Source organism: Homo sapiens, chromosome 3 (genome assembly GCF_000001405.40).
Source record: "Homo sapiens chromosome 3, GRCh38.p14 Primary Assembly".
Lineage (NCBI taxonomy): Eukaryota > Metazoa > Chordata > Mammalia > Primates > Hominidae > Homo > Homo sapiens.
Window position 1 is genome coordinate 105,563,772 of NC_000003.12, and position 13,576 is coordinate 105,577,347.

Below are 13,576 nucleotides of genomic sequence, written 5' to 3' on the forward strand. Positions count from 1 at the left end.
CCGCTTCCCGGGTTCACGCCATTCTCCTGCCTCAGCCTCCCGAGTAGCTGGGACTACAGGCGCCCGCCACCGCGCCCGGCTAATTTTTTGTATTTTTAGTAGAGACGGGGTTTCACCTTGTTAGCCAGGATGGTCTCGATCTCCTGACCTCATGATCCACCCGCCTCGGCCTCCCAAAGTGCTGGGACTACAGGCGTGAGCCACCGCGCCCGGCCCATTTCTTATTTAATTCTTTTTTGTCAACACAACCTACTACATAATCTTTTAGTCTTTGAAGTACATTGAGATTTATTTTTTGGCCTAGCATGCAGTTTTTCCTTGTGAATACTCCACGGACATTTGAAAAAAAAAAACTTGTTGGGGGCTTATGGGTGTAGTGTTGTATAATTGTCATTTAGGATTAGGTTAAGGTGAATCATAGTTTGTTTAAATATTCTTACCCTTACTTACTTCTTTTAAATTATACAAAATCACTTCACATGTAATGTAAGAAGGTAACAAGCATACACTTCTATTTCCCTTTCAGGTATTTTGTGCCATTGTTGTTATTTATCTTCTAAGTACTAAGCCTCACAACACACTGTCATTATTTTATGCTCTGCAGTCTATTATCTGTTTTAAAAATTAAAAATTATGAGAAAACTTTCTTTTGTATCTACTTATTTACTCCTTCCAGCACTCTTCTTATTTTTAGTGGATCTGAACCTTTGTCTATCACTTTCATTCTGAAAAACCTCCTTTGACATTACTGGGAGTGCATGTCTACCGCCAGTAAATTCTGAGTTTTCATTTTTATGATAATGTTCTTATTTCATTTTTAATTTTGTTTGCTAATTTCATGGGTACAGATTTCTAGGTTGATACTTCTTAGAATATTGAGTACCTTAAAGATGTGCCATTGCTTTCTGGCTTGTATTGTTTTTAATGAGGAGTAGTTGGACTTTGGCCAGGTGTGGTAATGCAAACCTGTAGTCCTAGCTACACAAGGAGATCAGCCAGGTGGGTGGCTCACACTTGTAATCCCACCACTTCGGGAGGCCGAGGCAGGCAGATTGCTTGATGCCAGGAGTTTGAAATCAGCCTGGCCAACGTGGCAAAACCCTGTCCCTACTAAAAATACAAAAATTAGCCAGGCATAGTGCCACACGCTTGTGATCCCAGCTATGCAGGAGGCTGAGAACCTGGGAGACAGAGGTTGCAGTGAGCCAAGATTACACCACTGCACTCCAGCCCGGGCAACAGAGCAAGACTCTGTCTGGAAAGAAAAAAAAACAGAGGCTAAGGTGGGATGATCGCTTGAGTCCAGGAGTCCAAGGCTGCAATGAGCTATAATTGTACCACTGAACTCCAGCCTGGGCAACAGAGCAAGACCCCATCTCTGGAGAAAAAAGAAGTAATTGGATATTATTTTTCACTGCTTTTGAAAATTTGGAAAAAATTTCAGCAATTTTTTTACATATATGTTTACCCTCCTTTCTTCATAAGACTCCTGGTATACATATATTAGACTGCTTGAAATTGTCCCACAGATCCTGTCTCAATTTTTATTGCCTTTACTGTTTTGAAAAGATTCATGTTGCATAATTTCTATGTCTATAACTTAATTGTCACTGATTTTATTTCAGTTGCAATATCTGATCTTCCAGTAACCCCATACATGAAATTATCATTTCTGATCTGTGTTTCTCAGTCCTAAATATTCAACTTTATTTTCAGTCTTCTCTTTCTATTATTATTATACTAATGTTTTCCTCTAAATTCTTATAAACTTCTGTAATTCCTATTTTACAATCCTTGCCTACTAATTTAATTATTTGTAGGGTTTTATTAATTCATTTTTTCTCCCAATTATAGGTCACATTGCTCTATTTCTTTGCATGTTTAGTAATTTTTGTTTGGATGTTGGAAATTTGGATGTTATATTGTTTTGAATTTTGTTTGACAGGTAGCCAAGTTACTTATGGATCAGCTTAACTTTTTTTGGAGCTTGGTTTTAAACTAGATTATGATGGATGTATCCAAATTAGTACTTGAAGAAGGAATCAAAGGAATGCTTATGTAAATTTCTCATGCGCTTTTCTTTGCATAACTCTACCTCTTTCCTGCAATTTTCATCATCTCCTTCCAGCCAAGTATGATTTCTGCCTTCTCAACTCAGTGAAAACTCTTTTCTGCTTGGGTCCTTATTTTTGGCACCACCAGAAAATACTTCCAGGCACAAAGCCTGGATTGTCATCAAGTGCAACTAGTGGCTTTTCCCTTAGAAATCACACAGATCAGAGTACTTTGCTACCTGTTGTCCAATGACAGAAAATACTTGTTCTTTTATTCTTTTTCTTAAAAATACATGTTTATGGCAAGAGAGCTAGCCCAGTGAAGCAACTGGAACATATGTGGATTTTGGTATTCAAGAGAGGTCCTGGAACCAGTCCACTGCTGATACCAAGGGACAACTGTACTATTTACTTCATCAGGATCATACATATTAAATGTTGGTACAATTGTCTTACCAATTATTGAGAAAGTGATATCGAATCATTCAATAAAGATTGTACATTTATTTATTTCTCCCTTCAGTTCTGTCAGTTTTTACTTTATACTTTTATTAGGTGCATATACTTACAATTGTTATAACTTCCTTATATATGAAACCTTTGTAATTACAAAATATCTCTCATTATCTCTGATAATTATCAATTATATGTAAGACCACCTCCCTATCTGTTTTCTAGGAATCTTCTGTCCTTCCATCCTGCCTTCTTTTGAATTACTTAATTAAGTTTTAGTATTACATTTTAATACCTCTACTGGCCTTTTAACTATACCTCTTTGTGTTCGTTTACTGTGGTTGCTATAAGGATTACAATAAGAACTCAAAACAATCTACTCATGTTAAAAATCTAAGATTTTTGAAGCATAATCCCATTTAACTTCCTCTATCTTTGTTGCTATTATTGTCACATCTGTTTTATCTGCATATATTATAAAGATCAACTGTGTTTTACATATATATGCATATAAAGCATATATATTAAACTGTTAGTTGTCTTTTAAAATATTTTACATATCTACAATCTGTATTTTTTTATTCTTTCTTACGTATCTGAATTCCCATCTGGTGTTACTTCCCTTCGAAGAACTTCCTTTAATGCTTCCTTTAGGAAAGGTCTGCTGGTGATACTTTTTTCTACTTTCTTTTCATTTAATTTAATATGTCTTTCTTTTGCCTTTAAGTGAAGGATCTTTTCACTGATATAAAATTTTGGGTTTAAAACTTTTCCTTTCAGCATTTTAAAGATGTTTAATTATCTCTGGTGTGCACTTTTTTTCTGATGAGACATCACCTGTTATTTATGTTATTGTTCTCCTGAACAAATTTTCTGTGGCACTTTCAAACATTTCTTTTTATATTTGCTTTTGGTTAGTATGTCTATGATTAACTTGAGTGTGTTTTTCCTTTTGCATTTCCTCCTTCCGGACTTCTGAGCATTTTGGATCTTCAAGTTAATGGGCTTCATCAAACCTGGGAAATTTTCTCATTGTTTCTTTAAATATAGTTTTGCCTCATTCTCTTTCTCTTCTGTTTGACTTCAAATACATGTATGTCAGCATATGTTAGCCTGCTCACTATCATCTCACAGGCCACTGAAGATCTGCTCACTTTTTTTTTTTCCACTGCCCTGGACTCCACCATCTCCTCACTTTTTTACTGTTTTCTTTCTCTCTGTTTTCCAGAATCTGTGACTTACAATTTTGTTCCTAGGTTCACTAATGCTTTCTTGTGCCACCTCTAATCTGATGTTAAGAGCATTTAGTGAATTGTTCAATATCAATATTCTAGTTTTCAGTCATAGAATTATTTTTGTTCACATTTTTTGCTGCTGATATTTCCATCTGCTCTCTCATTGTTACCAAATTTTCCTTTAAGCCATTAAGTGAGTATTATATAATTGACTTAAAATTCTTGCCTGCTGATTCCAAAATCTGTAAATCTGCATCACCTAAGGACATTCCCTGGACTTTGTGTTACATTTTTCTATTCAGTGTATGTATTGTAACTTTTTTACTATATAATGGATTTTGTGGGTGATATGTTTTAGATTATAATTTCTGTTATATTTTTCTAAAGGATATGAGTTGCTTTTCCTAGCAGACAATTAGATTACTGGCTAATTACTCTACTGTCACCTTGCGCTTGTGATGGTTAATTTTACGGTTTGTATTCCATGTCTGTCTTAGGATGAATGTCTAGTTCTTTTATTTTATTTTTTTTATTATTTTATTTTATTTTATTTTTTTTTTTTTTTGAGATGGAGTCTTGCTCTGTCACCTAGGCTGGAGTGCAATGGTACAATATCTCGGCTCACTGCAACCTCTGCCTCCTGGGTTCAAGCGATTCTCCTGCTTCAGCCTCCCAAGTAGCTGGGATTACAGGCACACGCTACCATGCCCAGCTAATTTTTGTATTTTTAGTAGGGACAAAAATTTTAGACAAAAAACTTTTAGTAGGGGTTTTACCATGTTGGCCAGGCTGGTCTCGAACTCCTGACCTCAAGTGATCCACCCACCTTTGCCTCCCAAAGTGTTGGGATTACAGGTGTGAGCCACTGAGCCCAGCCTGTGTCTAGTTCTGACACATAGTCTTTCTTGTTTTTTCTGGGGTTTCAGTACCAAGACTGATGTGTTTGCTAAGCACTTCTGGCTTGGTGAAGTTCAACTCCAAACTGTGTGGGTAGTACCTAAAAATCTATCAGGCTTCTAAGCCTTCTGGTATTGCTTTCCACTAAGCTCTTTGAAATTTCTCCCACATATGCTATTCAGGGGGTCATCCAAGGAGCTTATCATAGTGTATACGCAAATTTGGAATTCTTGCCACCCTGTGGCTGTCTCCTTTCTAAGATTTTTCTTCCTTGATTTCCAGCTTTTGGTCTACTTAGACCATGCCTCCCAAGCTGAGAAGTGCCCTCAGAGGAAAAGCCATGTAAAATTTTCTTTCAATTTCTACTTTATTTTTGTCACTCTCAAATACATTCACATACTTCATTCTGTACTTTTCTGAGGGTTTATAATTGTTATAAATATAAGAGTTAACAAAGTACACTTGGTGTTTTGTTTTTTTTTCAGTGTTACTCAAAACAGAACTCCTTGTAGTCCATGCTTTATTTTAAGGTTGTGAAATCATTTGCACACTCAATGAGAATATGGCTTTATTCTTACCATACAGGTCAAGGCAGATTAAAAAACTTAAAATTGCAATTTATATTATAGTAGTCACTGTCCTGATGTATTACATTGTTGTTTTTTTTTTAATTTTATTTTTTAGGATTTACCAACTGAATGTTGACTTCTTTATGTATCACTCTCTAGTTGCTCCAAACAAGTTATGATTCTTACTTTAGATGAAAGGAGTGGCAGTTAATGAAGTGAGTTTAAAAGAAAACAGACAAAAAGAGAAAGCAAAAGGAGAAGTAGAAAGAAAAAGAAAGGAGGAATGGAATGGAGAAAAAAATTAGAGGACTGAGAGAAGACAAGGGGAAGAAAAAAGAGAGGAGAGAAGAGATTTTGGGGATTATGTGGCTTTTTTAAATTGCCACAATATCTTACTGATTTATAGAAATTATAGTTATTAGGATATATAGTTAGTAGCTATTAGAATAATCAAAGACCTGTTTATGAATATAATTTTGTGCAGAACTATCTGGAAAGGTTGGATTAAGAATCACTCAAGTTCTGTCATTTCAATGTAGTATTTTGTCAACTTGCTTATAAAAAAAAGCAGCTGGGTATGTATGGACTTCATATTGGTGAACACTAATATATTAAGGAACAGTGGAAGGAAATAGACATAAAGGATCATGTCAGTTCAACTTAGTAGAATAATGATCTTTTGGATGCCTACCATGTTCTAGTCACTGTATTATGTGCTATGGATAAAATATAAATAAAACATGGCTATTATTCTCAAAGAGTTTGTGGTCAAGTCAAGGAAACTAAAGAGATGTCTCACATCTCAGTGTTTCCTTGGGGCAGATGGATGGAGAAATGAGCTAAGAGCTTGAAGGGAAAAGCTGGATTTCTTTGCATTTTTTGAGCTAAAGAAAGGGATACTTTCTAGGATGTCAATTAGAAGCCTGAAAGAACCATGCCTTAGGAATAGGAGCAAGCCAAAGGTAGACCAAATTTTACTAAAATTGCAGTGGGGCTCCAACAAAAGTCAATAACCTGATAGAATTGTGTAATCAGCCCCTTAGCCTAACAAAGGAAAGGGGGAGCCATAGCTGATAGAAAATAACATTCTGTAGGGTCTCTACAGTTCTTTTGTTCATAGGGTCAGCAAAATTTAAAAGGACAAGATATTCAAAGAGTCAAGAAAATACAATCAATAATCTAGAGAAAAAGTAGGTAAGATAAGCAAACAATAACTGAATTATTTGAATATTGTAGTTAATAGATAAGGCAATGAAAATAACTATAAATATATAAGAAAATGTGTAAGAAAAGATACTCAAAAGAGATAAAAGGAGTAGAGAATTCAAATGCAATAATTGAAAAGAGAAAAAGAATTATATCTTTCAGTTCCAAAATGTCAATTTGATTTTAAAGGATCAAATTGACATTTGGGAACTGAAAGACATAATATTAAACACTGTGTTTTCAGTGGATGAATTTAACACAGATGGGCCACAGCAGAGCACAGGAAAAGGAAATTGGAATACACATCGATAGAAGACACACAGACTGAAGCACAGAGAGGAAAAAGAACAGCCAAGACCAACAAGAGCATAAGAAACATGTGGACACACACATGTCTAAGCTATGTATAGAATTGAAATTCCAGAAGAATGAAAGAGCAAGAATAGCAATCACCGGTAAAATAAATAAATACATTGTGGTTTATTCACCCTATGACATCCTATAGACCAATGAGAATGAACAATCTATAATCATATGCACCATTATACATGAATGTCACAAACTTAAGGTTGAGTTTAAATAAAAGGCAAACACAAATGAATAAATCTGAGATGATTCCATTTATGTACAAATTACAATAGCAGGTAAAACTATTATGTGAGAATTCAGGTTGTAGTAGCCTTTGGGCAGGAAGTAGACTGCAAGGTCATATAATGGTCTGCAATTGTCTCTTATTCTGGATGCTGGGAGGAAAGGAAGGAAGGGAGGGAGGGAAGGTGGAAGGGGTGCACTCTTGGACATACAGCTACCATTTGTTCTGCTTTCTCCTAGTTAGCCACAAACCCTTAATTGTGTAATTAAGAAAATCTGATTTAATGTCTTAAAGAATAAGAGCCTAGGCATGGGTAATCAAAGTAGCCGCTAAGGCATTGGTTTTCAAACTGTGGCAGGCAGTGGAATCACCTGAGGAGTTGTTTAGCAGAGATCGCAGGTCCCATCCCCACAGTTTCTGTTTCTGTTTCTGTAGTTCTGGTATAGGGCCCGAGAATTTGCATTTCTTGCAAGTTCACAGGGGATGCTGATACTGCTGGTCTGGGGACCATAATTTGAGAACCAGCCACGTTAAAGTTGCTATAGCTTCTGTTGTCGATGTTCTATCATAAACTTGGTCTCAATAATCTGGTTGTTGTTGTATTCAGTAAAACAGAATATTCATAAAGATAGACATAGGGTGTTAGCTCAACTGGGATACATGATAGGGAACACCAGAAGGGAACGCGCCTTCATGAAATGTCCTTAAGAAAATTTTTTTGGAGAAAATTCGCTTAGAACAAAAATTTACACTATCAAATGAGTTACTTCCCAGAAAGTGGAGAGAAAAATAACCTAGCTAAAAACATGATGCACAAAGTGTTGTATAGTCTGTTTTCAAAATAATTGATTTTTTTTTCTCTTAGCATACATTTACTGGAACCCCATCACCAAGCTAATTTCAGTACAATGTGCTCCATTATCAGTCAAGGCTCACAGATATGGAAATTTTTGCCTAGCGGTTTGCTGTAAAACATTTGCTTTTCAAAGACACATTAATTCAAATCTTAAAATTAAATATAAAAGTTGAACATGTATGTGTCAATATGATGAAGTTTATTTAATTCTCTTACAGGACTGCATCAAAACATGTAAACAAGGACCTCGGTAATATGGAAGAAAACAAAAAGTTAGAAGAAAACAATCACAAAACTGAAGCCTAAGAGAGAAACTGTCCTAGTTGTCCAGGTGAGTAGTCTGTACGAGGTTCATAGAAATAATTCCCTAGCAAGTAGGAAACATCCTTAAAGATGAAGTCCTTTATGTTAAGATGCTCCATAATTACAGCTTTCAAAACAGGAAGAGAGGGGTTTTTTTTCTTTTTATTATGCTTTAAGTTCTCAGATACATGTGCAGAACGTGAAGGTATGTTACGCTGGTATAAACGTGCCATGGTAGTTTGCACGCATCAACCCATCATCTACATTAGGTATTTCTCCTAATGCGTCCCTCCCCTAGCCCCCCACCCCCTGACAGGCCCCATTGTGTGGTGGTCCCTTCCCTATGTCCATGTGTTCTCACTGCTCAACTCCCACTTATGAGTGAAAACATGCAATGTTGAGTTTTCTGTTCTTGCGTTAGTTTGCTGAGAATGATGGTTTCCAGCTTCATCCATGTCCTTACAAAGGACATGAACTCGTCCTTTTTTATGGCTGAATAGTATTCCATGGTGTATGTGTGCCACATTTTCTTAATCCAGTCGATCACTGATGGGCCTTTGGGTTGGTTCCAAGTCTTTGCTATTGTGAACAGTGCTGCAATAAACATACATGTGGATGTGTGTTTATAGTAGAATGATTTATAATTCTTTGGCTATATACGCAGTAATGGGATTGCTGGGTCAAATGGTATTTCCGGTTCTATATCCTTCAGGAATCACCACACTGCCTTCCACAATGGTTGAACTAATTTACACTCCCACCAACAGTGTAAAAGCGTTCCTATTTTTCCACATTCTCTCAAAACAGGAAGAGAGTTTTTCGAAAGGAAACTTTCGTGACTCAGAAAGTGTTTTCGGAAGAATGGAAACTTACCAGTTTCCCCCACTCCCTCCTCAAAATAATCATTATCTTCTGAATAATAAAAACCAACTATGAGATGTTAACATTCAACTATCATTTTATATTTTAATGCAAAAACTTTAAGTGCAAAGAAGCTTTATTTTTTGAATTGGTGTTTGGGTTCAGTAAGAACAGATTCTAATACCTTAGATTTGTTTTAAATAAATGATTATGAAAATAATTTTAAAATATGAAAATTTTAGGCCAGGTATAGGCAATGGCTCACGCCTGTAATCCCAGCACTTTGGGAGGCTGAGGCGGGTGGATCACTGGAGACTAGAAGCTCCAGACCAGCCTGGCCAATGTGGTGAAACCCTGCGTCTCTACTAAAAATACAAAAATTAGCCAGTCCTGGTGGCAAGCACCGATAATCCCAGCTACTCCAGTGGCTGAGGCAGGGGAATCACTTGAACCCAAGAGGTGGGGGTTGCAGTGAGCCAAGATGGTGCCACTGCACTCCAATCTGGGTGACAGAATGAGATTCTGTCTCAAAATATAAAAATAAAAAAATAAAAAACTTTAATCTAGATATTTAATAAAAGCGTGAGTGTATTTATACAGCCAATATCCCAAATCATTTTAATGAAAAGCATAACAAACTTGTGCACGTGTGTATACATATACGCATATGCTTTTATAGGTAGTATATGTATGTGTATGTGTATATATGTATCCATGTATCTATATGCACATATGTAGAGGCATATGACTGTTATATTTAACATATAAAATAGCTGTGTGTGATTTTTAAGACAATCTCAAAAGAGGTATGTTTCCATGGCATTGCCACCTGCAATTTGAGGTTTTTCTTTTTATTTGTGTTCCCTTAAACCAAGCAAATAGAAGAGCCATTTGGACTATTAATGTGTCCTTTAGAATAACTGTTACTATAGCTTACCGATATGATATGACAAGCCCCAACCGCCACAGTAAACCTCGGGTTCATTATAAATAAACCACAAGTCACAATTTGAGTGGGTCATCCAAGTTAATCCCATAGTAAGGATGGAGCGTGAGAAAATACTGAATTTAAAAGGATGCACACAGGGGAGAACAATAGAATAATTGAAACAAGACTTGGTTTTTAAAATCTGAAAGCCAGGATTTTAAACTGATGGGGTGAAAGGAATCAGAACTGGATTGCTTCTCTATCTCACCTTTCATTGGAGGTCAAGTATGCAGCATTCCCACATGACTTTTTTTGTTTGTTTTTTCCACTTCTCTAGGGTTCTTTTCCCCAGTCCTTTGTAAACATAGATTTTAACTACTGTTTTCTTCAAAATCGTATAACTTCTCAATGAAAAACTGTACTTGAAGACAAATCCCACGAAATAGTGTGATTTGAAGAAATGAGTGTACTTTTAACCTAAAGAGAAATGCAATGAAATATTTTCTTGAAAAAAAACTTGTAATATTAGTATTAATTTTACAAAAAAAGAAAACTCTGAATAATTCCAAAAACTATTTGTAGAATGGATGAAGCAATGCCTGAGATTATAGATGGGCTTGGGGACAATGGAGTTTTATAAAAGGCCCTCCTGTAAAGTAATTTACTAAATTACTTTTAGTACAAAGTATCTGTTGATGTTAAAAAATTATTGCTTTGGAAGCTTATCTAAATTATTTTTTTTTCATTTCAGAGATAAAAATCATATAGACCAATTGAAGCATGAACGTGGATTGTATTTAAGACATAAACAAAGACATTGACAGCAATTCATGGTTCAAGTATTAAGCAGTTCATTCTACCAAGCTGTCACAGGTTTTCAGAGAATTATCTCAAGTAAAACAAATGAAATTTAATTACAAACAATAAGAACAAGTTTTGGCAGCCATGATAATAGGTCATATGTTGTGTTTGGTTCAATTTTTTTTCCGTAAATGTCTGCACTGAGGATTTCTTTTTGGTTTGCCTTTTATGTAAATTTTTTACGTAGCTATTTTTATACACTGTAAGCTTTGTTCTGGGAGTTGCTGTTAATCTGATGTATAATGTAATGTTTTTATTTCAATTGTTTATATGGATAATCTGAGCAGGTACATTTCTGATTCTGATTGCTATCAGCAATGCCCCAAACTTTCTCATAAGCACCTAAAACCCAAAGGTGGCAGCTTGTGAAGATTGGGGACACTCATATTGCCCTAATTAAAAACTGTGATTTTTATCACAAGGGAGGGGAGGCCGAGAGTCAGACTGATAGACACCATAGGAGCCGACTCTTTGATATGCCACCAGCGAACTCTCAGAAATAAATCACAGATGCATATAGACACACATACATAATGGTACTCCCAAACTGACAATTTTACCTATTCTGAAAAAGACATAAAACAGAATTTGGTAGCACTTACCTCTACAGACACCTGCTAATAAATTATTTTCTGTCAAAAGAAAAAACACAAGCATGTGTGAGAGACAGTTTGGAAAAATCATGGTCAACATTCCCATTTTCATAGATCACAATGTAAATCACTATAATTACAAATTGGTGTTAAATCCTTTGGGTTATCCACTGCCTTAAAATTATACCTATTTCATGTTTAAAAAGATATCAATCAGAATTGGAGTTTTTAACAGTGGTCATTATCAAAGCTGTGTTATTTTCCACAGAATATAGAATATATATTTTTTTCGTGTGTGTTTTTGTTAACTACCCTACAGATATTGAATGCACCTTGAGATAATTTAGTGTTTTTAACTGATACATAATTTATCAAGCAGTACATGAAAGTGTAATAATAAAATGTCTATGTATCTTTAGTTACATTCAAATTTGTAACTTTATAAACATGTTTTATGCTTGAGGAAATTTTTAAGGTGGTAGTATAAATGGAAACTTTTTGAAGTAGACCAGATATGGGCTACTTGTGACTAGACTTTTAAACTTTGCTCTTTCAAGCAGAAGCCTGGTTTCTGGGAGAACACTGCACAGCGATTTCTTTCCCAGGATTTACACAACTTTAAAGGGAAGATAAATGAACATCAGATTTCTAGGTATAGAACTATGTTATTGAAAGGAAAAGGAAAACTGGTGTTTGTTTCTTAGACTCATGAAATAAAAAATTATGAAGGCAATGAAAAATAAATTGAAAATTAAAGTCAGATGAGAATAGGAATAATACTTTGCCACTTCTGCATTATTTAGAAACATACGTTATTGTACATTTGTAAACCATTTACTGTCTGGGCAATAGTGACTCCGTTTAATAAAAGCTTCCGTAGTGCATTGGTATGGATTAAATGCATAAAATATTCTTAGACTCGATGCTGTATAAAATATTATGGGAAAAAAAGAAAATACGTTATTTTGCCTCTAAACTTTTATTGAAGTTTTATTTGGCAGGAAAAAAAATTGAATCTTGGTCAACATTTAAACCAAAGTAAAAGGGGAAAAACCAAAGTTATTTGTTTTGCATGGCTAAGCCATTCTGTTATCTCTGTAAATACTGTGATTTCTTTTTTATTTTCTCTTTAGAATTTTGTTAAAGAAATTCTAAAATTTTTAAACACCTGCTCTCCACAATAAATCACAAACACTAAAATAAAATTACTTCCATATAAATATTATTTTCTCTTTTGGTGTGGGAGATCAAAGGTTTAAAGTCTAACTTCTAAGATATATTTGCAGAAAGAAGCAACATGACAATAGAGAGAGTTATGCTACAATTATTTCTTGGTTTCCACTTGCAATGGTTAATTAAGTCCAAAAACAGCTGTCAGAACCTCGAGAGCAGAACATGAGAAACTCAGAGCTCTGGACCGAAAGCAGAAAGTTTGCCGGGAAAAAAAAAGACAACATTATTACCATCGATTCAGTGCCTGGATAAAGAGGAAAGCTTACTTGTTTAATGGCAGCCACATGCACGAAGATGCTAAGAAGAAAAAGAATTCCAAATCCTCAACTTTTGAGGTTTCGGCTCTCCAATTTAACTCTTTGGCAACAGGAAACAGGTTTTGCAAGTTCAAGGTTCACTCCCTATATGTGATTATAGGAATTGTTTGTGGAAATGGATTAACATACCCGTCTATGCCTAAAAGATAATAAAACTGAAATATGTCTTCACAGGTCTCCCACAGCTGTCTGACTCTTGTCTAAAGTAGAATGTTCATGTGTGGAAAGTGATTGTCTTTATCAAATAGTGGAAAACTCACTGTGACTCTCCATCTTTCCAGAGAAGGAGTGCAGAAAAATAAAATTCACCATGCCTTCCTACTAGGTCAGGTGGGCTACCTTAGCTAGTCCCTAGATTTCACCAGTGATAGATTCTATAATGCATCTGTCTTCAAAGATAGGATCATACTTACTCTTGGGTGTCCCATGTAACTCTCCTAGGACCTTAATTACGAGAACATTTTCATATTTGTTCACTTCTGCCAATAACATTCTATTCAGATTGTCATTTGGAATTACCCAGGCCTGAACTTTCAGAAAATATATTCCCTCCAAAATAAGGTAAAGCCAGCTGTGTACATAAGAGAAGGAAATTAACATTTATTGAGCCCATACTAT

At 35.3% G+C, this 13,576-nt stretch overlaps 1 protein-coding gene across 2 annotated transcripts in view; it reads left to right on the plus strand.

Annotated features, from left to right (window-relative positions):
- The window catches only part of ALCAM (activated leukocyte cell adhesion molecule), a 209,992-nt gene extending 196,863 nt beyond the window's left edge, over positions 1–13,129 (plus strand). For both annotated transcript variants that reach the window (NM_001627.4, NM_001243280.2), the window contains 2 exons: positions 8,081–8,193; positions 10,706–13,129. In NM_001627.4, coding sequence (NP_001618.2) covers positions 8,081–8,168 — 88 coding nt within the window. In that variant the 3' untranslated portion in view covers positions 8,169–8,193; positions 10,706–13,129. The remainder of the gene's footprint in view (positions 1–8,080; positions 8,194–10,705) is intronic.